Source organism: Homo sapiens, chromosome 1 (assembly GCF_000001405.40).
Source record: "Homo sapiens chromosome 1, GRCh38.p14 Primary Assembly".
In the NCBI taxonomy this organism is placed as follows: Eukaryota; Metazoa; Chordata; class Mammalia; order Primates; family Hominidae; genus Homo; species Homo sapiens.
Genome location: NC_000001.11, coordinates 202,760,582 through 202,784,095, shown reverse-complemented (window position 1 = coordinate 202,784,095; position 23,514 = coordinate 202,760,582). Strand labels below are relative to the sequence as shown.

The 23,514-nt window shown below is 40.1% G+C and overlaps 1 protein-coding gene and 1 pseudogene across 6 annotated transcripts in view; both read left to right on the top strand.

The window, feature by feature from the left end:
* The window catches only part of KDM5B (lysine demethylase 5B), an 83,927-nt gene that overhangs the window by 24,326 nt on the left and 36,087 nt on the right, over positions 1–23,514 (top strand). For 3 of the 6 annotated variants that reach the window (NM_001314042.2, XM_011509091.3, XM_011509090.4), the window contains exons 2-8: positions 7,002–7,079; positions 9,361–9,483; positions 10,808–10,978; positions 17,036–17,170; positions 17,592–17,699; positions 19,951–20,047; positions 21,288–21,397. In NM_001314042.2, the coding sequence (NP_001300971.1) occupies positions 7,002–7,079; positions 9,361–9,483; positions 10,808–10,978; positions 17,036–17,170; positions 17,592–17,699; positions 19,951–20,047; positions 21,288–21,397 (822 nt within the window). The remainder of the gene's footprint in view (positions 1–7,001; positions 7,080–9,360; positions 9,484–10,807; positions 10,979–17,035; positions 17,171–17,591; positions 17,700–19,950; positions 20,048–21,287; positions 21,398–23,514) is intronic. The other 3 variants (NM_001399817.1, NM_006618.5, NM_001347591.2) reach the window with 2 other exon arrangements.
* On the top strand, positions 16,564–16,993 carry COX7CP2 (COX7C pseudogene 2; annotated as a pseudogene).

Genomic DNA, 23,514 nt, shown 5'->3' with positions numbered 1-23,514 from the left:
GTTGTTCTCACAGTGGTTGACTTTATTTTTTAAACATTTCTCTCAGTTAAATCTGCTTTTAGTTGTTGTTAAGTTAATGCTGGCACTGAGGAAAATGTTTACCTGATGTTTCTCAGGCCTCTGAGGATTTTGAAGCTTCAACTTTCTACTTAATTGCCTTCCTAAGGAATACATTTTTGAGTCCTAAGGAAACTAATTCAACTTCTTTTTTTTTTTGAGACAGAGTCTCGCTCTGTCCCCAGTCTGGAGTGCAGTGGTGTGATCTTGGCTCACTGCAAGCTCCGCCTCCCGGGTTCACACCATTCTCCTACCTCAGTCTCCTGAGTAGCTGGGACTACAGGCGCCCGCCACCACGCCTGGCTAATTTTTTGTATTTTTTTTTAGTAGAGATGGGGTTTCACCGTGTTAGCCAGGATGGTCTTGATCTCCTGACCTCATGATCCGCCTGCCTCGGCCTCCCGAAGTGCTGGGATTACAGGCGTGAGCCACTGCACCCGGCCTGAACTTTTAAATAATAAGGTTCTTGTACTTTATCTTGTAAGGGTTAAAATAAAACTATTTTCAAGTTTTTTTGTTTGTTTTTGTTTTTTTTTGAGACAGTCTTGCTCTGTCGCCCAGGCTGCAGTGCAGTAGCATGATCGTGGCTCACTACAGGATTGACCTCCTGGATTCAATTAATCCTCCCACCCCAGCCTCCTGATTAGCTGGGACTACAGGTGCATGCCACCATGCCTGGCTAACTTAATTTTTTTTTTGTAGAGACAGAGCCTCAATATGTTTCCGAGTCTGGGCTGGTCTCTTCTCTTTTCTCTTCTCTTCTTTTCTTGTTAGACAGAGTCTTGCTCTGTCACCCAGGCTGGAGTGCAATGGCGCAATCTCCACTCACTGCCACCTCCGCCTCCTGGGTTCAAGTGATTCTCCTGTCTCAGCCTCCTGAGTAGCTGGTTATAAAGAATGAGAGAGGTATTTTATCAGGCATGCGCCACCATGTCCGGCTAATTTTTGTATTTTTATTAGAGATGGGATTTCGCCATGTTGGCCAGGCTGGATTCAAACTCCTGACATCAGGTGATCCTCCTGCCTTGGCCTCCGAAAGTGCTGTGATTACAGGCATGAGCCATCACACTCAGCACCCAGGTTGGTCTTGAGCTCCCAGGCTCAAGCAGTCCTCCCCCTTTTGGCCTCGCAAAGTGTGAACCCCACTACACCTGGCTTACTTTCAAGTTTTGAAAGTAAAGGAAATTAAAATAATCTCAGTGAGGAATTTATATGGAACTGCATGTAATCTGCAAATTCTTATTACATCTAGTTAGTATGAAAAGGCTGTTTTATGTTAGAAAAAGTGATTTATGATCAGTTTTATTGATAGGGAGTACAAGTTTTACTTTTTGGCCAGCTTACATTATATTCCTTTTAGACACTTAAGCATCAAGTTAAACATTATCGCAATGTTTCTAAGTGGGGATTTGGATTATTTATTTGACTACATAATTTGAGGATTATTTTTCAAAATTTTCACCTTAGAAGCTTTATTATGATCTGTTGTATTTACCTTTCATAATGGCTTCCCCTACCCCCCATTTAAAAGTCATGGCTTGGCTTCTGCCATGCCTCACACCTGTAATCCTGGCACTTTGGGAGGCCTAGGTGTGAGGATTGCTTGAGCCCAGGAGTTCCAGACCAGCCTGGGCAACATAGCGAGACCTCATCTCTACTTAAAATGAAAAGAAAAAAAAATTCGTGTCCCATTGAGGTCAGACTTTGCCAAAGGTATTTTAGTTCCGTATGATAGTGAACATTACAAATAAATTTAATTTTTTTATTGGAGTCTAGTTTTGCAGCTGACAGTGAATGTCCCAAAACTGAATGACATTTATCTCTTCTCTCATTCTTTATAACCAGAAGAGATGACAGAGTTTGTAGTGATCCATTTTTCATGCAAAAATGATCTTCTCAAACTATTTCTTTAGTTTTAAACATATTTATACCCACTGTATGAGCATCCTTATTGACAGATATGTACTAATTTCCATTTGATGAATCATTTTCAGGATTCATTTTAGCTTTATGCTAAAATAAGTATATTGTGTATATATTCATACATAGAAGCTCATTTTAATTTGTAAAACTTTAATATACAGGCTTTTGAGAACATCAAATATCTTTATAATTGTGTTTTGGTATTAGAAGGTACATTATCTGATCAATCAGGGAATAACATTATATATCACCTGTAAGTCTTAGTTGTTAAAATTTTCAGGCCATTTTGAAAGTATGTTAAGACTAAATATTTGAACATTTACTTCTATATTCTGACACATTATTTTTCATATGCTTTTGATCTCAGCTTAACCCAGATCAATTCATTTCTGAAAACCAACAGCTTTTATAACACACTGGAAGCAAAGCTCTGAGCAATATAAAGGCTTCCTGTTAGCCTACCATAGAATATCAAGAAGCAGTGTGATTTCCTTTTGCTAGGATGTGTTCTGTATAAATTAAACACATTACTTTGGCTTTTAGTTATTGAGCTAAACAAAAATAAATCAGACTTTAATCTTTTTCACTTGGGATGGAGGTATTTTTTAACTTTAACAAAGTATAGTATTTTTTAACTGACATTTAAAACATTAACCATAAAAAGGCAGTACAACTATGTTAAACATTTGAAGGCCTTACCGATAATTACCTTTGCTTTTTAGCTTAACATTTTATCATGCATCACCGGCGGGCATTTTTATTGAAGTCTTTGTTATCACTAAAACAAAACAAAATTTCATTTATGTATTTATTTTAGAGCTAGGTTCGTGCTCTGTTGCCCAAGCAGGAGTGCAGTGGCACAATCATAGCTCACTGTAAACTTAAGCCCCCTGGGCTTAAGTCATCCTCCTGCCTTAGCCTCCTGAGTAGGTAGGACTACAGGTTTGCACCACTATGCCTAATTTTTACATTTTTTGGTAGAGACGGATAGAGACTGGTCTCAAACTGCTAGCTTCAAGTGATCCTCCTGCTGCTGCAGCCCAAAGTGCTGAGATTATAGGCATGAGCCACTGTGCCTGGCCGTCATTTTTATTCTAAACTAAAAGCAGTCTATAATGATAAGTTCCAACAGCACAAATTTGAAATGTTAAAAAAGCCTCTTTTCTCCTTATTATTGTGATATTATTTAAAATCTGCATATGTAAAATTCAACACAATGTTATTAGGTTGGCGCAAACGTAATTGTGGTTTTTGTCATATGTATATGTAGGTAATGGCAAAATTACAGCTTTTGCCACATATATATGTATTTTTTTTTTTTTTTTTTAGTAATGGCAAAAGCTGCAATTACATTTGCACCAACCTAATACATGTTTTTGTTCTAGTTTTTTACTCATTGATGCTTGGGTATCTTTCCATATTTAGAATATCTAGATATTTTTTATTATAGCTGAGTGGTATTTTATTGTTGGTTGTAGATATACCAACATTTATTTAGCTTTTTCTCTACTGATACTTACATTTTAACTTGAAGGAATTTTGCAGTGAATTTCCTTTTGCCTATATTGAGGTGTTGTGAGTGGTAATAGATATTTGTAAATTCCTATCAGAAAATTGCTGGGTCATGGCCAGGCGCAGTGGCTCACGCCTGTAATCCCAGCACTTTGGGAGGCTTAGGCAGGTGGATCATTTGAGGTCAGGTGTTCGAGACCAGCCTGGCCAACATGGTGAAACCCTGTTTCTACTAAAAATACAAAAGTTAGCCAGGCATGGTGGTGGTACATGCCTGTAATCCCAGCTACTTGGGAGACTGAGGCAGGAGAATTGCTTGAACCCGGGATGTTCAATTCTTGCTTGCAGTGAGTGAAGACTGTGCCATTGCATTCCAGCCTGGGTGACAGCATGAGACTCCATCTCAAAAAATAATAATAATAAAATAAAAATAAACAAAACTGCTGGGTCACAAGGCATGCGCTGTTAATCTGATAGCTAAAAACAATGAGAGTTTGTATATTTCTTGAATTTTGAGTGAAGTTGGGTGCCAGTCTTATGATTGGCCATTTTTCCCTTTTGGCTGTTGATACAATTTGCCCATTTTTCTGTAAGTTATTATTTTGTCTTATTGATTGTTATGAACTCTTTATAAATCTAGCACTTTTAAATGCTGTATAATATTCAATGTTATTGTAATACCATAATAATCGTACATTCCTAATGTAATGCTGCAGTTAATTTCATTCATGTATTTTGTTTTTTCTTCCTTTATTTTTTATTTATTTATTTATTTATTTATTTATTTATTTATTTATTTTTGAGACGGAGTCTGACTCTGTCGCCCAGGCTGGAGTGCAAAGGCATGATCTTGGCTCACTGCGACCTCCACCTCCTGGGTTCAAGTGATTCTCCTGCCTCAGACTCCTGAGTAGCTGGGACTACAGGCATGTGTCACCACACCCGGCTAATTTTTTGTGTATTTTTAGTAGAGACGGGGTTTTGCCATGTTGGCCAGGCTGGTCTCCTGACCTCAGGTGATCTGCTTGCCTCGGACTCCCAGAGTGCTGGGATTACTGGTGTGAGCCAGTGCGCCTGGCCATTCAACTCTGGTTGAATTGTTTTCTTTTTTTTCTTTTTTTTTTTGAGACGGAGTCTCGCTCTGTCACCCAGGCTGTAGTGCAGTGGCGGGATCTCAGCTCACTGCAAACTCCGCCTCCCGGGTTCACACCATTTTCCTGCCTCAGCCTCCTGAGTAGCTGGGACTACAGCCGCGTGCCACCACGCCTGGCTAATTTTTTGTGTTAGCCAGGATGGTCTTGATCTCCTGACCTCATGATCCTCCCAAAGTGATGTGATTACAGGCGTGAGTCACCGCGCCTGGCCGGTTGAATTGTTCTCTTAGGATAAACTTGGTATAAAATTGAGTTTAAAGGCTGTGAATTTCCTCATTAATATATTCACACAATCTGAAATAATACATTTATTATTTAATAAATATTTAATGTATTTTGGATTATATTTAAAACAAACAAGGATGTAAAATTACCTATAACCCTGCCAGTAAGGACAACCACTATTGTGAGCCTTTTTGCTCTAGATAGCTTTCCAGTGTTTTATTTTTCTACTGTAAAGCCTGTTCCGCCCCCCGACCCCTTAACATATATAGGGAAAATCTTCCCACATTAGTAAATAGAGATCTAGGCTGGGTGCGGTGGCTCACACTTGTAATCCCGGCACTTTGGGAGGCCGAGGCAGGCGGATCATATGAGGTCAGGAGTTTGAGACCAGCCTGACCAATATGGTGAAACCCCGCCTCTACTAAAAATACAAAATTAGCTGGGTGTGGTGGCACATGCCTGTAATCCCAGCTACTCGGGAGGCTGAGGCAGGAGAATCACTTGAACCCGGGAGGCAGAGGCTGCAGCGAGCTGAGGTCACGTCATTGTACTCCAGCCTGGGTGACAGAGCGAAACTCTGTCTCCAAAAAGTGAATAAATAAGTAAATAAATAAATAAAAGATCTATGCTACAGGGTACATTTTTCCTTTTTTGCTTTTTTCATTGTATTAAAATATTAAAATGTACATAACATTAAATTTTTGCCTTTGTAACCATTTTTAAGGATACAGTTCAGTGGCATTGGGTACATTTACATTGCTGTACAGCCATTACCATTGTCTACCTCCAGACCCTTTCATCATTATCCCAGACTGAAACCTATTAACACATTTTTATACCTTTAGCTGTTCTCTTGTTGTAGACATTCATTTCCAGTTTTCTCCCTTCGTAGGTAACAATTCATACATATATGTGTGTGTGTGTATATATATATATTTAATTGTCTGATTACTTCCTCATGATGGCAGTTCTTCCATGATAGGAAAATTCTCCTCTAGAGAACAGTTGTCTATACGAGTATACATATTAAGGACAAATTTTTTTTTTTTTGAGGTGAAGTCTTGCTCTGTTGCCCAGGTTGGAGTGCAATGGCGCGATCTTGGCTCACTGCAACCTCTGCCTCTTGTGTTCCAGCGATTCTCCTGTCTCAGCCTCCTGAGTAGCTGGGACTACAGGCGCCTGCCACCCCATCTGGCTAATTTTTGTAGTTTTAGTAGAGACAGGGTTTCACCATGTTGGTCAGGCTGGTCTTGAACTCCTGACCTCAGGTGATCCACCCTCCTTGGCCTCCCAAAGTGCTAGGATTACAGGTTGAGCCACCTTGCCCGGCCAAGGATGACTTTTAAAATTGGATTTGGATGTCAGTTTTTCTCCCCCTGACACCACTGTAGAATTTACCCTCAATTTAATAAGAAAAGTTAAGGTGGGCCAGGCTCAGTGGCTCACACTTGTAATCTCAGCACTTTGGGAGGCAAAGGTGGGAGGATCATTGGAGCTGTAGAGTTCGAGACTGATCTGGGCAATACATGTACCTACACCTCGTCTCTAAAAAAAACCTTAAACAATTAGCTGAGTGTGGTAGTGTTCACCTGTGGTCCCAGATACTTGGGAGGCTGAGGTGGAAGATCGCTTGAGCTCAGGAGGCAGAGGTTTCCACCAGCTGTGATCACACCACTGCACTTAAGCCTGGGCAACAGAGTGAAACCTTATCTCAAAAAAAAAAAATTAAAAAAGTTAATGTGACTGGAAGGTTAAATGTGTTTTTTAAAGTTATAGACATATAGCTGTTATATAAAAAATGAGGTATGTCTATGGTAATACAGAAGTCAAAGTGTCTTTTGCCTAAATGAGTGTTTTTTTTTTTTTTTTTTTTACAGGCTCAATGACATTGCTCAGTGGGAAGGTTTGTGGGGAGAGGTGTATATGTGATATATCATTTATTTGGGAAAGGGTGTTCATACATATTTTGCTGCTCTCATGGACAAAAGGTTGAGAAACCACTACTCTGTGTTCTATTTTGTTTGATTGGTTAGAATAAGATTTACCTAACCTGGGTTTTAATTTTAAAACAAATTTTTGAATGTCAAATGCTTATAAGTTATTCTAATAAGAGCCTTTGCTTTCTCCTAGGATTGGCAGCCACCATTTGCATGTGATGTTGATAAACTTCATTTTACGCCACGTATCCAGAGACTGAATGAATTGGAGGTAATGTCTTCACTATTGTTCTGTTTGCCTGTATTCCAGGGGGACCGTCTTTGAAATTATTACGATATATTAAAATTGTTACAGAATCACCATTGTAAATCTGTTTTTAGATTTGTATTTGAGCAAATAAGAACATTTCTTTCTGTAGAGAACAGGTCTTTAAAATATCGAATTGGCTAGGCATGGTGGCTCACACTTGTAATCTCAGCACTTTGGGAGGCTGGGGCAGGAGGGTTGGCCTGGGCAACATAGCGGGACCCTGTCTCTGCTAAAACATAGTTTAAAAAATTAGCCACGTGTGATGGTGTGTGCCTGTAGTTCCAGCTACTCGGGAGGCTGAGGTGGGTGGATTGCTTCAGCCTGGGAGGTCAAGACTGTAGTGAGCCATGGTTGTGCCACTGCACTCTGCACTCCAGCCTGGGCGACAGAGCAAGACCCTGTATTTTATATATATATATATTTACATATGTGAAGATACACACACACAGAATTGTGTTTTTGTTGTAGGGTTGAGGTCTCCCTATGTTGCCCAGGCTGGTCTCAAACTCCTGGGCTGAAGCGATCCTCCTGCCTCTGCCTCCCAAAGCTGGGCATATAAAAGCATATTTACTTGCCATATAATTTTAAACACTTATATGGAATTGTGCTTACAGTACTAATTAAGTTCCTTTCAGAGTGCCTGCTTACATCACAGGAAGGTTTACTGAGTGTTTAATTCTTTGTCTGTCACGTGGTAGGGGCTGAATTAAATTTTTTAAAAAAGTCAATTAAAATTTTTACTTTTTTTGTTATGGAGTCCCGCTCTGTCACCCAGGGTGGAGTGCAGCAGCATTATCCTGGTTCACTGCAACCTCTGCCTCCTGGGTTCAAGTCATTCTCCTGCCTCAGCCTCCCAAGTAGCTGGGATTACAGGTGTGTGCCACCAAGCCTGGCTAATTTTGGTATTTTTAGTAGAGATGGGGTTTCACCATTTTGGCCAGGCTGGTCTTGAAATCCTGACCTCAGGTGATCTGCCTGCCTTGGCCTCCCAAAGTGTTGGGATTACAGGCATGAGCCACCATGCCCAGCCTGAATTAAATTTTTGTTGAGTTAATGTATGTGTGTGTATATATTATATATATATATATATATATATATTTTTTTTTTTTTTTTTTTTTTTTGAGACAAGAGTCTTGTTCTGTCACCAAGGCTGGAGTGCAGTGGCACAATCTCAGCTCACTGCAACCTCTGCCTCTTAGGTTCAAGTGATTCTCCTGCCTCGGCCTCCTGAGTAGTTGGCATTACAGACGTATACCACCACATCCAGCTAATTTTTGTATTTTTAGTAGAGATGGGGTTTCACCATGTTGGCCAGGCTGGTCTCAAACTCCTGGCCTCAAGTGATCTGCCCATTTTGGCCTCCCAAAGTGCTGGGATTACAGGTGTGAGCTACCACACCCGACCATGTATAATTATTATTTTTTTATTTTTCTTTTTTATTGAGACAGAGTCTTGCACTGTCACCTGGGCTGGAGTGCAGTAGCATGATCTTTGCTCACTGCAACCTCCACCTCCCAGGTTCAAGTGATTTTCCTGCCTCAGCCTCCTGAGTAGCTGGGATTACAGGCCCCTGCCACTACGCCCAGCTAATTTTTTGTATTTTTAGTAGAGACGGAGTTTCACCATGTTGCCCAGGCTGGTCTCGAACTCCTGACCTCGTGATTCACCCGTCTCGGCCTCCCAAAGTGCTGGGATTACAGCCATGAGCCACTGCACCCAGTCGTATAATTATTATTATTTTGAGACAGAGTCTTACTGTCTCATCCAGGCTGGAGTACAGTGGTGTGATCTCAGCTTACTGCAACCTCTGCCTCCTGAGTTCAAGCAATTCTCCTGCCTCAGCCTCCTGAGTAGCTGGGATTACAGGCACGCGCCACCACACTAGGCTGATTTTTGTTAATAGAGATGGGGGGTTTCATCATGTTGGCCAGGCTGGTCTCGAACTCCCGACCTTGTGATTCGCTCGCCTCAGCCTCCCAAAGTGCTGGGATTACAGACGTGAGCCACCGTGCCCGGCCGGCCATGTATAATTATTTAACCAGCTTTATTTTGTGTATTTTTGGCCGTTTCTCACTGAATTTAGAAAGTGGTATTATATGATTTTGCTGAAAGAGCATTAAATTAAAAAAAAATTTTTTTAAGTGGTATTGTACTTAAATATTCTGTGAAAGAAAATAATGGCAGGTAATAGGAGCTTTAAAATAAGCTAAATGAGATGAAAACTCAATTCTTTGTCTTTTAGGCCCAAACTCGTGTAAAATTGAATTTCTTGGACCAGATTGCAAAGTACTGGGAGTTACAGGGAAGTACTCTGAAAATTCCACATGTGGAGAGGAAGATCTTGGACTTATTTCAGCTTAATAAGGTAAAGAGCTAATGACCATCTTACTTATTTTATAATCTTACTGACAGAATGAATTTGATCTTCTTTGCCTTAAAAAGGAACTTATTGCTCAGCCAGGTGGCTCGCACCTGTAATCTCAGCACTTTGGGAGGTCAAGGGAGGAGGATTGCTTGAGACCAGCCTGGGTAACATAAGGAAACCCTGTGTTTACAAAAAATTTGGAAATTAGGCATGGTGGCACGGGCCCTGTAGTACCAGCTATTTGGGTGGCTAAGGAGGGAGGATCACTTGAGCCCAGGAGGTGGAGGCTGCAGTGAGCTGTGATTGCACCACTGCACTCCAGCCTGGGTAACTGAGCGAGACCCTGTCTCAAAAAAGAAAGAACAAATAAACTTACTTTTTGAGATGTGTGAAATGAGATTCTCAAGTCAGTTGAGTGATGAGGATCATCAGGTCTTGAAGCCTTGTGGAATATTTTGCTTCCACCTGTTTTTCTCATTTTCACACTTTACAAAAATTCTGCAAGCTATTTCTTTTTATTACAGATAAGGAAACTGAGGCTCAGGGTGATAAAAAGGTAAAAAAATGCTGAGCCATGGCCGGGCGTGGTGGCTCATGCCTGTAATCCCAGCATTTTGGGAGGTCGAGGTGGGTGGATCACCTGAGGTCAGGAGTTCAAGACCAGCCTGACCAACATGTCGAAACCCCGTCTCTACTAAAAATACAAAATTAGCTGGGTGTGGTGGCACATGCCTGTAATCCCAGCTACTCGGGAGGCTGAGGCAGGAAAATCGCCTGAATCCAGGAGGCGGAGGTTGCAGTGAGCCGAGATTGCGCCATTGCACTGCGGGCTGGGCAACAAGAGAGAAACTCCATCTCAGAAAAAAAAAAAAAAAGAAGCTGAGCCATAATTCAATACCAGGCCCATTTGATTCTGAAATTTACATTCTTTCCATCAAACATGCTGGCATGCATCCTAGTCTTTAGTTTTTGGAGGCTTATTTAAGAGCCCAGAATAAGACCAAGTATTACAGTCCCTTCTTTGGTAGAGATTTAGTTTTAGGTAACCTGGTTCTTTCCACATGATTGCTTTGGGGATGTGAAAAGTAGCTTAGAGGGGACAAAATGTTTATGGACCATGTTGTCAAGAGAGATGTTGAAAATTTCTAACTTAAAATTAATAGTGTGTGTGTATATATATGTGTGTGTGTGTATATATATATGATTGGCAAAACATGTTTTTAAAAGATAACCATAGCCAAGAACATTTTCCCCTTGGAGTCATACTTAGATGTGATTAGAAGTGACTTCCATATAGTTGTTTCTAATTTTGCTATTTTAACAGTTAGTTGCAGAAGAAGGTGGATTTGCAGTTGTTTGCAAGGATAGAAAATGGACCAAAATTGCTACCAAGATGGGGTTTGCTCCTGGCAAAGCAGTGGGCTCACATATCAGAGGGCATTATGAACGAATTCTCAACCCCTACAACTTATTCCTGTCCGGAGACAGCCTAAGGGTAAGTTTGGGGGCTAGCCTTAACCTGTTTTATCTTACTACTTATTGGTACATTGTCTTTTCAGGGAAATGAAAAAGCCTTGATTGTGTTTGGAAGACCTTGTTTTAGAAGACCTTATTTTGGTGGGGCGCGGTGGCTCACTCCTGTAATCCCAACACTTTGGGAGGCCAAGGCAGGTGAATCACCTGAGGACAGGAGTTTGAGACCAGCCTGGCCAACATGGCGAAACCTCGTCTCTACTAAAAATACAAAAATTTGCTGGGCATGGTGGCGTGTGCCTGTAATCCCAGCTACTAGGGAGGCTGAGGCAGGAGAACCGCTTGAACCCGGAAGGTGGAGGTTGCAGTGAGCCGAGATGGTGCCACTTCACTCAAGCCTGGGCAAAGAGCGAGACTCTGAGACTCCGTCTGAAAAAAAAAAAAAGACCTTGTTTTGTGTTTTTTCCTCTAGTGTTTTTGTTCTGCTTTGAGAGCAGCTATACTTAGAAGTTTGTTTCTGGAATGAGTAAGATTGTGGAGGAAATTTTTTTACTGTCCAAAGCTGAGGAGTTGATTATTATCTACTTGTTACAACTTTGCATTCTCTTTAAATTTAAAGTAGCTAAAGTATTCCTGGCTGTCATATGAAGGTATAAGCTGTGAAATAACTTGCCTACCTGTTCTCTTCTGCCAGCTGAGATTTTTGAGGAGATTGTCAGAATGTTGATATGGTAAAAGGGGATTTTATAATGCTACATAGCTAACGGGTTCCTCTTCTAGTAATTCCTATGTAGCCAAGTTCATTTCTGACAAAATGGTATTTGTGAAATTATTCACTTAAAAACTTTTAGGTAAAACAGTACTGTAAAAGCTTCCCATTTATTTCCAGGCCTTGGTAGAAAGAAGAGGGGTGTCATTATCCATTCACACCCTTTGAGTTATTTTAGGACTACAGCAGTGAGTCCTATAACTTTAAGAATTGTTTTCTGTGCTGTAGAGAGGTAGGAAGAGAATAACATAGTTTTTGAGGGGTAAATCACTAACCAAAGTCCTGTCCTAATACTATACACACACAAACACACCATCTGTAATGCTTAAATCCAGTAGATTTTTTCTTCCCTCTCTCCCTTATTGATTCCAGGTGAACACTTTTTAGCCTAGAAGAAAGTAGCCAATCTGACATTCAAAACTTTTTTTTTTAATACATTATATGAATGTTTAGTGAGCCCATGGATGAAATTGTTTAGAATGTTGAATGTGAGCCGGGCGCGATGGCTCACGCCTGTAATCCCAGCACTTTGGGAGGCCAAGGTGGGTGGATCATGAGGTCAAGAGATGGAGACCATCCTGGCCAACATGGTGAAACCCTGTCTCCACTAAAAATACGTAAATTAGCTGAGCGTGGTGGTGCGTGCCTGTAGTCCCAGCTACTTGGGAGGCTGGGGCAGGAGAATCACTTGAACCCAGGAGGCAGAGGTTGCAGTGAGCTGAGATTGTGCCACTGCACTCCAGCCTGGGTGACAGAGCAAGACTCTTCTCAAAAAAAATAAATAAAATAAACAAAAACTTAAAAAAATAAAAAATAGGCTGGGTGCGGTGGCTCATGCCTATAATCCCAGCACTTTGGGAGGCTGAGGCAGGTGGATCCCCAGAGGTCAGGAGTTCGAGGTCAGGAGTTCGAGATCTGGCTGGCCAACATGGCAAAACCCCGCATTTACTAAAAATACAAAAAAAAAAAAAATTAGCTGGATGTGGTGGCAGGCACTTGTAATCTCAGCTACTTGGGAGGCTGAGGCAGGAGAATTGCTTGAACCCGGGAGGCAGAGGTTGCAATGAGCCGAGATCGTGCCATTGCACTCCAGCCTGGGTGACAGAATGAGACTCAGAATGAGACTGTCTCAAAAAATAAATAAATAAACAAACATAAAAAATAAAAAATAGAATGTTGAATGTGGAACCTTTTTGCCTCTTATAGTCAGATCTAGATACAGTTGCCCATAGTAGATTAATTTTCTCTTCTTGAACTCTTCCTAAGTACGGAAGTGATAGTGAATAAAGGGAGAGAGAGTCCCTTTAATGATGCTTTGTGGGTTGTAACATTTTAGAAACATGTCACTTATATACTTAAAAAGGCAATGTAGTTTTATGGTTAAAAAGCACTTAAGTATTTATACAATCAAGGAGTCTGAAAGGAATAAGCATTTAAAGGTACCCTTTTGTAAACATTGCATCTACAATATAGGTAGATATTTGTGAGGGACTTACTCTGTGCCAAGTATGTTTTAGGAAGTGATACACATTCTTTGTAGAAAGTTTAAAAACATAGGAAAGTATGGCAAAAATAAAATCACTCCTGATCCTTCCACCTGTTACTTCTCTCACGGCTATTTTTATGCATACATTCACAAATTCAAGTGTACTGTTCATATACATCATTGCATCTTAGGTTTTTTTACTAATCATATGAGCATTTGCTGTATCATTGAATAGTTTTTGAAAATGCAATTTCTAATGACTGCGGCAATCCGTTTTTTATAGCCAGACTTTATTTTGATGTCTTCTATTGTAGAATGTTTAGGTCAGTTCTAGTTTTTTATTATAATACTATGATGAATATTCCTTGTATGTAAATTTTTACACCTATTTCTGATTTTTGAAATAGTTATTAGGGAGAGAAGAATTGAAGAACATATACTTAAGAAAAACAGAGGTGTACAGTAAAGGAATTATTGCAAAAGGGTGAAGTAGGGTGTAAGTTAAATTTCAGGAAGCTTGAGAAAAGTTGATGCACTGTTCCAGTGGAACAGAGGCCTCAATCTTGCATCATCATGTTTTCTAAATGTTTTAAGGGATTGCTCTGTCTTTGGGATGATGTGATTATGGCATGATGATGATATTAATCACCTGTAAGTCCTGGTTTCTCAAGTAAAGGTTAAAATTAGCGTCTGTATGTTAATAACATTAGATATAAAACCATATCGTGTGTATTTTTAATTGTGGTTTGGAACAAAATAATAAAGCTCTTCATATTTATTCTAAAAAACTACAGGGCATGATTTTCTTAGATCTGCAAAGTCCTTACAGAACCAAGCTGACCATAGATGATGGAACCATTGAGACTAACTAGTAGGAGATAGGAACCACGTATATAGCATCTGAATTTGTGATCATCCACTTAATACAATTTATGTCATTCAGCTCAATTAGTATTTTCCTAATCACTCATACTTTTGTGTGTCAAATAGAAAGTACATTGGATACATAAAGGGGATTAATTTAGATGATGAACAGGTTTTATTCCCCTCTGCATGCTTTCATTAAACATACTCTAAATGCTCAACTGAGGACTTGTTATAGAATAGAAGGCAATGTTCTATACAAATTTTTTCAAAAAACAGAATATTTTTTTCTCTCAATTGTTGGGTGTTTAATTTGTCTCATAATTTTTTTTTTTTTTTTTTTTTTTTTTTTGAGACAGAGTCTTGCTGTGTCACCCAGGCTGGAGTGCAGTGGCATGATCTCGGCTCATTGCAACATCCGCCACCCTGGTTCAAGCGATTCTCCTGCCTCAGTGTCCCGAGTAGGTGGGATTACAGGCATGCATCACCACATTGGCTAATTTTTGTACTTTTAGTAAGGACGGGGTTTCAGTATGTTGGCCAAGCTGGTTTCGAACTCCTGACCTCAAGTGATCTACCTGCCTTGGCCTCCCAAAGTGCTGGGATTACAGGCTTGAGCCACTGCACCTGACCAACTTTTTTCAGAATGTAAGTGCTTAACTATTAAGAATATAATAGGCCAGGCGGCCGGGCGCAGTGGCTCACGCCTGTAATCCCAGCACTTTGGGAGGCTGAGGCAGGTGGATCACGAGGTCAGGAGATTGAGACCATCCTGGATAACACGGTGAAACCCTGTCTCTACTAAAAATACAAAAAAATAGCTGGGTGTGGTGGCAGGTGCCTGTAGTCCCAGCTACTTGGGAGGCTGAGGTAGGAGAATGGCGTGAACCCAGGAGGTGGAGCTTGCAGTGAGCCAAGATGGCGCCACTGCACTGCAGCCTGGGCGACAAAGCGAGACTCTGTCTCAAAAAAAAAAAAAAGAAAAAAAAAGAATATAATAGGCCGTAGGCCGGGTGCAGTGGCTCACACCTGTAATCCCAGCACTTTGGGAGGCTGAGGCGGGCTGATCACCTGAGGTCAGGAGTTTGAGACCAGCCTCAACATGGAGAAACCCCGTCTCTACTAAAAATACAAAATCAGCCGGGCGTGGTGGTGCATGCCTGTAATCCCAGCTACTTGGGAGGCTGAGGCAGGAGAATTGCTTGAACCTGGGAGGTGGAGGTTGCAGTGAGCCGAGATTGCACCTTTGCACTCCAGCCTGGGCAACAAGAGCGAAACTCCATCTCAAAAAAAAAAAAAAAAAGAATAGTTAACTTTTCTGGATCAAATCAATATGTAGGTTTAAGTAGAATGAGCAGAATGTTTAATATTTATAGAGCGCTATTACCAGTGGTAGATTTATTACTTGTTAACAAGTAATGAGTCAGTTTTTAATAGTATATCATATTTCTTAACTATTAGAAATAAATTTTATCATTGTGTTGCTTTGTACTTTATTTTGTTCTTCGCCCAGTCTCTGTATTTCTGCAAATGTGAGGGGGAAAGGGGCGAATCTCATTAGTGAGATTCTATGGTAGTAACTATGCTCATAGTGTTAGTGCTTCAGGAAGGTTGTTATTTCCACGTATCTCATTCCAGATATAGCTGCTATAACACACCCTAGAGGGTTACTTTTGGAACTTACTTTTACAAAGGTTTTTCGTGATGTTCCTGGGTCCTGTTATGAAAAAGTAGTGCTTACCTGAAATTCATATTAGCTTCGGTGGCAATATTTTGTCGTGTTAATGTTATATTGGCATTAAATACCCTCCTTTAGCCAGCTTAGAATAAAACTAAAAAGAAAAACCAAAGAAGAGATGCATTTCTGATCAGAACCAAAGTTATTGCTGTGGGCTACCCGTTGATCTTTGCCTTGCGAGTTAGACTTTGTAGGGATATACTGTGGTAAATGGAAACCCTAGTGAGGAAGACTACTTTAGTCAAATGACCTGTTTTCTCAATTCAGGTGATATCTTTGGATGATAACTTTGCTAGTTATATCTGAAACTATACAGTTGTAAAATCTAGAAAACATATTGGATTCCTTATTTTTTTTTATTCCGAACACTTGTTAAAAATGAGATTTTTAATATGGAAAATTGTTTTGGGAGCTTATAAGGGGCCTTTCTAACAATATGGACCTTCCATTAACTGACAGTCGCAAGCACAAATAACTCCAAGTGGTTCATTGGGAATGCCTTGAGACTGTTATGGCCTGTTGTAACCTGATGATGTCAGCAATGAAAAATCAAAGCAACACCACCTGTTAAAATTTTTTTTAATGTTTTAAACCTGTATAGATGTATGTATGTGGTTGGTAACTGCAGACTTGTCTTTATTTTTATTTAGATTTTTAAAAATTGTAGGCCTGTTGTCTACATAAATAGTTGTAAAATGTACCTTACAAAAATCCAGTGAAACTCTCTAAGATTAAAAAAGGAGGGAATCCTTTCAGTCCTTGCACACCGGGGAACAAGGTCGTGAAAAAAAGGTCTTGGTGAGGTGCCGCCATTTCATCCTTCCTCGGTCTCTGCACCTTTCGCAGAGCTTCCAGCAGCGCTATGTTGGGCTAGAGCATCCGGAGGTTCACAGCCTCTGTGGTCCGTAGGAGCCACTGTGAGGAGGGCCCTGGGAAGAATTTGCCATTTTCAGTGGAAAACAAGTGGTCGTTACTAGCTAAGATGTGTTTGTACTTTGGATCTGCGTTTGCTATACCCTTCCTTGTAGTAAGACACCAACTGCTTAAAACATAAGGGTGTTTCAGTTCCTCCATTTAACAGATATGAAGAGTATTTTAAGAGGTGCAGCCTCTGGAAGTAGATCAAACTCGAACTCATGTGGCATGCTAGATATGTTTGTCAATAAACTTATGATGTGAAAAAAAAAAGGAGGGAATTTATCAGTACAGTTGTTATTTCTAGTGTTTGCAGAAGCCAAACCTGACCACAGACACTAAGGACAAGGAGTACAAACCCCATGATATTCCCCAGAGGCAGTCTGTGCAGCCTTCGGAAACGTGCCCCCCAGCCCGACGAGCAAAACGCATGAGAGCAGAGGTAAGAGCCTCATGAGGTTAATTTAAAAGGAATTCTCAAGCCCTAATACCAATGGCTGTCTGGCACTGGATTTCTCTCATGTGTGTGCTCTTTGTAGTTTTGAACCTTGTTAATCTCACAAAGGGATGCTGTTTGTATTCCAGCTTTTACACTTGGGTGAATTGTACCATCAAAGGGGTAAGGAATCGAATAAGTCTTTCTAAATTTATGCTGCCTGGACAGACAGCCGCTTATTACCAGTCAAGGCCTTAGAAGAATTGGTGTTCCTGTGTTCCTACTTGGATTGCCCATTACCCTCACAAAATTGGCGTTGTTTAATGGAGATTAAGGCTAGAAAACATGAAGATTAGGAGTTTTTTTAAACAGAGTGGTTAGAAGACAGTTAAAGCCACTTTTCTCAGACTTCTTTTTTTTTTTTTAGAGACAGAGTCTCGCTGTGTTGCCCAGGCTGGAGTGCAGTGGCGCGATCTTGGCTCACTGCAACCTCCGCCTCCTAGATTCCAGCAATTCTTCTGCCTCAGCCTCCCAAGTAGGTGGGACTACAGGCGTGTGCCACCACGCCCGGCTAATTTGGTTTGTATTTTTAGTAGAGACCGATTTCACCGTGTTAGCCAGGATGGTCTCGATCTCCTGACCTCGTGATCCACCCATCTTGGCCTCCCAAAGTGCTGGGATTACAGGCGTGAGCCATCTCACCCAGCCTCTTCCTTTTATAGGTGGTCTCGCTCTTTCACCTAGACTGGAGTGCAGTGGCATGATCATAGCTTACTGCAACTTTGAACTCCCAGGCTCAGGTGATAGCTGCCACCTCAGCCTCCCAAGTAGCTGGAACTACAGATGCATGCCATGCATGCCTAGCTAATTAAAAAAAAATTTTTAATAAAGACAAGGTCTCACTGTGTTGTCCAGGCTAGAGAAGGATTATTTGCTTTAAGATTTTTCTGCTCTGAGAAGCTTTCCCTGGGAAAGGAAGAAGAGTATTTTTCTAGTGATCTCGTTCCCATACCAGAGGTATGAAGGTTTTGGATTCCTGCCTAGCCTGATGGATATGTGAGTTTTAGGACTCAGAGATAATATATAGGGAACTGTTTAGAGCTGGGAAGCCTCATATTGCATTAATCATACTAAATCAGTAACTGGTTTTCAATAATTATCAAAAATGAAAAAAATCAGCCATTTTGTTTTCTGAAGAAATAGATAAATAAGAGAATAGTTTTTCACTTTGGTAAGTTGGAGATAGGAAAAAAATTTAGTGATTCACTTTTTCTGAATGAAGGAGACTGCCCAGAATAGGAAAATATGGTTATTTGAAGCCCATAAGCATGTTTAAAGTAAATTAATCTATGAATCAGTTCTTTCTTGAGCATATTCTTGATCTTATACATGTGTATATAAGAAATGCCCCAGTGCTGTGGATGCCTACATCTGCCTTGATGACACCTGATAGTAATGATATTGCCCATGGAATAAACTCTTTTAGCAGTGGACATCATTAAAATGTATGAATAAACACAGGCAAAGTGAGAAAGCACAGTTCCACAGATACTTCAGTATTACCACAAAAAATGGTTTTATTTGCTTTACCAATAAGTATCAGCACTTTAAGAAATAATAGAAACTGAGATTGGCTTCTATACCCTCAATGAGGAAGGAGCCCTTAATAGTTTAGTGATGTTAGAAGTGTGTAGTTTATAATAATAGTTTATTAAAATAATTTATGGAAAATTATTGTGGAAGCAAAATTTTCTGTAAATACTGACAGACCTTGGAATAGGTCAGCAAACTCTTAGAGGCTAATGGAGTTATGACATTTATATAACTACTTAGGATTTGGCTTATTGCGATGATTGAATAAAGCATAAAGCAAATAGATAAGAACCAAGAACCTTCTAGGAGGAAAATAAGAATTGTTCTTCCGAATTTGAATAGAAACACTTCTCTTTGTTTTGAGACAGAGATTGGCTCTTGTTGCCCAGGCTGGAGTATAGTGGTGTGGTCTTGGCTCACTGCAACCTCTGCCTCCTGGGTTCAAGCAAATCTCATGCCTCAGCCTCCTGAGTAGCTGGGACCACAGGTGTGCACAACACCTGGCTAATTTTTGTATTTTTAGTTAGAGATGGGGTTTTGCCATTATGGCAGGCTGATCTCAAACTCCTGGCCTCAAGTGATCCACCTGCCTTGGCCCCCCCAAAATGCTGGGATTACAGGTGTGAGGCACCTCGCCCAGCCACAATTTGTTCTTGATCCTTTGACTTTTCCCTATTTGTTTTTTTGTTTGTTTGTTTGTTTTTGAGATAGAGTCTTGCTCTGTCACCCAGGCTGGAGTGCAATGGCACCATCTCAGCTCACTGCAGCCTCCATCTCCCAGGTTCAAGCGATTCTCCTGCCTCAGCCTCCCAAGTAGCTGGGACTACAGGTGCGTGCCACCATGCCCGGCTACTTTTTGTAATTTTAGTAGAGACAGGGTTTCACTGTTAGCCAGGCTGGTCTTGAACTCCTGACCTTAAGTGATCTGCCTGCCTCAGCCTCCCAAAGTGCTGCGATTACAGGTGTGAACCACTGTGCCTGGCCAACTTTTCCCTATTTTTAAATTTCTCATTCATGCTTTAATAGTAGTTTCAAAGGTGAGCTCTCTTCCTTAGGAAGAGAGAGAAGTATGTTTTGAATGCCCTGTTAATAGAGGCAATTGGTAGGATATAGTCACCTTGAGATTCCAGTTGGATTTTTAAAGATTATTTCTTCTTAAAGGAAATATTCATGTATATGACAATTTTTTTAAGGCCATGAATATTAAAATAGAACCCGAGGAGACAACGGAAGCCAGAACTCATAATCTGAGACGTCGAATGGGTTGTCCAACTCCAAAATGTGAAAATGGTAAGAAAATTTGTCAATGAATAGGAAAGAAAAAGTAAATAAAGTAAAAATAACTATTCATAAGTAAACATAAGCTGAAAATTCAATAGAAAAAAATTAAAAAGTAAAATTTAGAGCAGCCAGTACATAGTAGTCACTGGGTTGGGCTTTGAGAAAATCTTAATATATCAACAGTGTCCTTGTTCTCATAATTAACTGACTAGTGGGAGAGAGAAACAGAAACTATATGTATGCATATTAGGAGTGTGGATGAGTTTCTCAGCTGTAGCAAGTTGCTACTTTGAAATTTGATTCAATGCAGTTACTTAAGTAATTTGTGAAAAACATAGGTGCCTTTGACCGAATGTCTGATAGATTTATTTCAGGCAAGGCAAACAGACATGCTTCCTAAATCTGAATTGTGGTTAATTGCTTGCCTGGGTATCACTTGATGTAAGTCACTGAGAGGTGGATTTGAGATTCTTTTAAGAGAAATCTTATATCCTATATAGGAGGCACATACAAATTAAGAAGTTACTAAAATTTGTTCAACCTAGGGATTAGTGAACTAGTGGAAAGGCAGCACAATGCACAGGAAAGTAATAGAGATACAATATAAAGTAATACAGTAATCTTGGCACAACCGCTAACTAGTTATGTAACCTTAGAGATGTTTCTTGATTTACTTTAACATCAGTTTTCTTACCTTTGAAATGGGTTTGTTGTGAAGGATTAAATACTTTATGGAAAGCATTGAGCACAATGCCTACCACATGATAGTTCAGTAATTGATAGCCAGTGTTTTCGCCAAACTTCTCAGTCTTCAGAACCAGGAATTTGGAGACCAGGAGGATGACCAGGAAGTCATCTTAGATCATGGAGAGATAATGTGTTATGTGGAGGAGATATAGTTGGTGAACTGTTGGTCTCTTGTAGTCATGGCCAACAGGAATTTGATTTCATCGGTATATGTTATGTCTTGGTCTTGAGAAAACTAATTCCTATTTTGAAAGCATACAAACCTGAGGGACATCTCCAGAAGTAATCTACATCTTGAAATTTAAATGGCACAAGAGTTTGCATTTTATCATAAAGTAATCAGCATTTGAGCCCTTGAATAAAGTATACTGGGTGCTATTGCTACTAAAATGTGAAAACACACATGAAATTATGTTTGTGTACAGTATGTGCTTTGGGAGGGAGATGATGAGGAAGTGGAGAAAAGCATCATAAAGAGCTAATTTTGGATTGCCTCCTACAGAGAAAGAAATGAAGAGTAGCATCAAGCAAGAACCTATTGAGAGGAAAGATTATATTGTAGAAAATGAGAAGGAAAAGCCCAAGAGTCGATCTAAAAAAGCCACCAATGCTGTGAGTGACATCTCCCTTTCTCCTTTTTCTTTCCTGTTTTCCTTCTTCCCTTCCTTTCTTTAATCCCCTTTACCCCCAAGTTTAAACTTAAATTTGTACCTTAAATAAGATTGTTTAACTTAGTGTCTGACAATAAAAATATCTTCTGAAGTCAGTTTATAGTGTTAGTTAATAAATGAGGAAATACATGATCATACTATAAAGATGGTAGTAACATCCGGGGCGGCATTGACTGCGATTTTCTGGAATACATTCAGTTTAGCACTGACTAATAATGAACTGTAATCTAGCTCATTATACATAGAATTGCTCATAAATCACTAGCTCACTTCTACATGAGCTGAAGGCTCGCTCAAAAATCCAAGTTAGTGTTTTCCAACTTCCCAGCTAGCAAAGGGAAGGAAGGAAATGAAAAGAAGGAACAAAAAAGAGAAAGGAAGAAGGAAGAGGAAGGAAGGAAGGAATGAAAAGGAAGTAGAGAAGGAAGGAAGAAAAGGAAAAGGAACAAAGGAAAGCAGTTAGGAATAGGGAAGAGGACATGGCAGAGTTAGAGGGCTGGGAGCTGTTTATTCTGTGGAAAACTTTTATTAAAAGTAAAGCCTGATGGCATTAGAAAGGATCTGGTTCTTCTCTGCCCCCTTCTGAGAGCCTGAAACGGTGCTTTTTTTTCTTGGAACTAGAAATTATTCTAATTGAATGTTCTCTCCATAAATGTCACCTTCTGCCCCACCCCCTCTCCCCAATACAATCAGAAAACTGACAGAGCTAGATTTTTATTTGCTACAATAAATAGACTGCAACAGACTCCCCATTTAGTTGAATTCTCAGCTTTCTAGTATTGAGTAATGTATCAGTTTGCTGTGGCTGCCATAAGGATGTGCCGCAGACTGAGTGGCTTAAACAACAGAAATTTATTTTTTCACAGTTGTATAGGCTGGGAAATTTGAGATCAAGGTGTTGGCAGGGTTGATTTCTTCTGAGCCCTCTTTCCTTGGCTGTGGATGGCTGTCTTTCACATGGTCTTTCCTCTGTACATATCTTTGTCCTTATAAGGACAGCAGTCATATTGGATGATTACCTCCGTAAGGACTCATTTCCAAATATAGTCACATTCTGAGGTACTGAGGGTTAGGACTTCAACATGTGAGTTTTTGGGGGGAATACAGTATACCCCATAAAAAGTAATAACTATGCTTTATCACTGGGCATTAGGGGAACTTCTGAACCATGTCCCCTTAATTAGAATTAAAAGTGATAGTTTATTTTTATTTTTTTAGAGATGGCTGGAGTATAGTGACACAATCATAGCTACTGCTGCCTTGAACTCCTGGGCTCAAGGGATCCTTTTGCCCCAGCCTCTTAAGTAGCTGGGACCACAGGTGTGCACCACCATGCCCGGCTAATTTTTCTTTTTTAAATTTCTTGTAGAGACAGTGTCTCGCCATGTTGCCCAGGCTGGTCTCAAACTCCTGGCTTCAAGCAGTCCTGCCAGGGCCCCCAAAAGTGTTGGGATTACAGGCTTAAGCCACCGTGCCAGGCCTAAATTGGTAGTTTAATGTGGTTAACTTTAAGACAGTTTTGTTTTAAATATGGAAAACTTGTATTTTTCCTTCATAAATTCTACTTTTGGTTAGGTTGGTAATGTATTACCTGGTATCTTTTTTTTTTTTCTCCTGAGACAGGGTCTCTGTCACCCAGGCTAGAGCGCAGTGGTGCAATAAGGGCTCACTCCAACTTTGACCTACCAGGCTCAAGAAATCCTCCTGTCTCAATTCCCCAAGTAGTTGGAACTACAGACACGTGCCACCACTCTTGGCCTATAACCTTAGCATCTTGTTGTTTTGGAACCTACTAAAAACTAGGTCTTTAAATAACAAACTTTAAACACATGACAGTTGAGAAAGCTAGGAGATTCCACTTTAGATTTGGTATGCATGAGGTATTGTGAAATATCCTTCATAGAAAGTGAAACATTTTTATTTAAAATATCCCTTATAGAGGTTGAAGCATTTGTAGCAGGATGTAGAGACTAGATTATGTCTCAGATCCATTTCATTTCTAGAATTTTAGAAAATCAAATAATAGCTCATGTTCCTTTGTTCTGTACCCACTTTTAT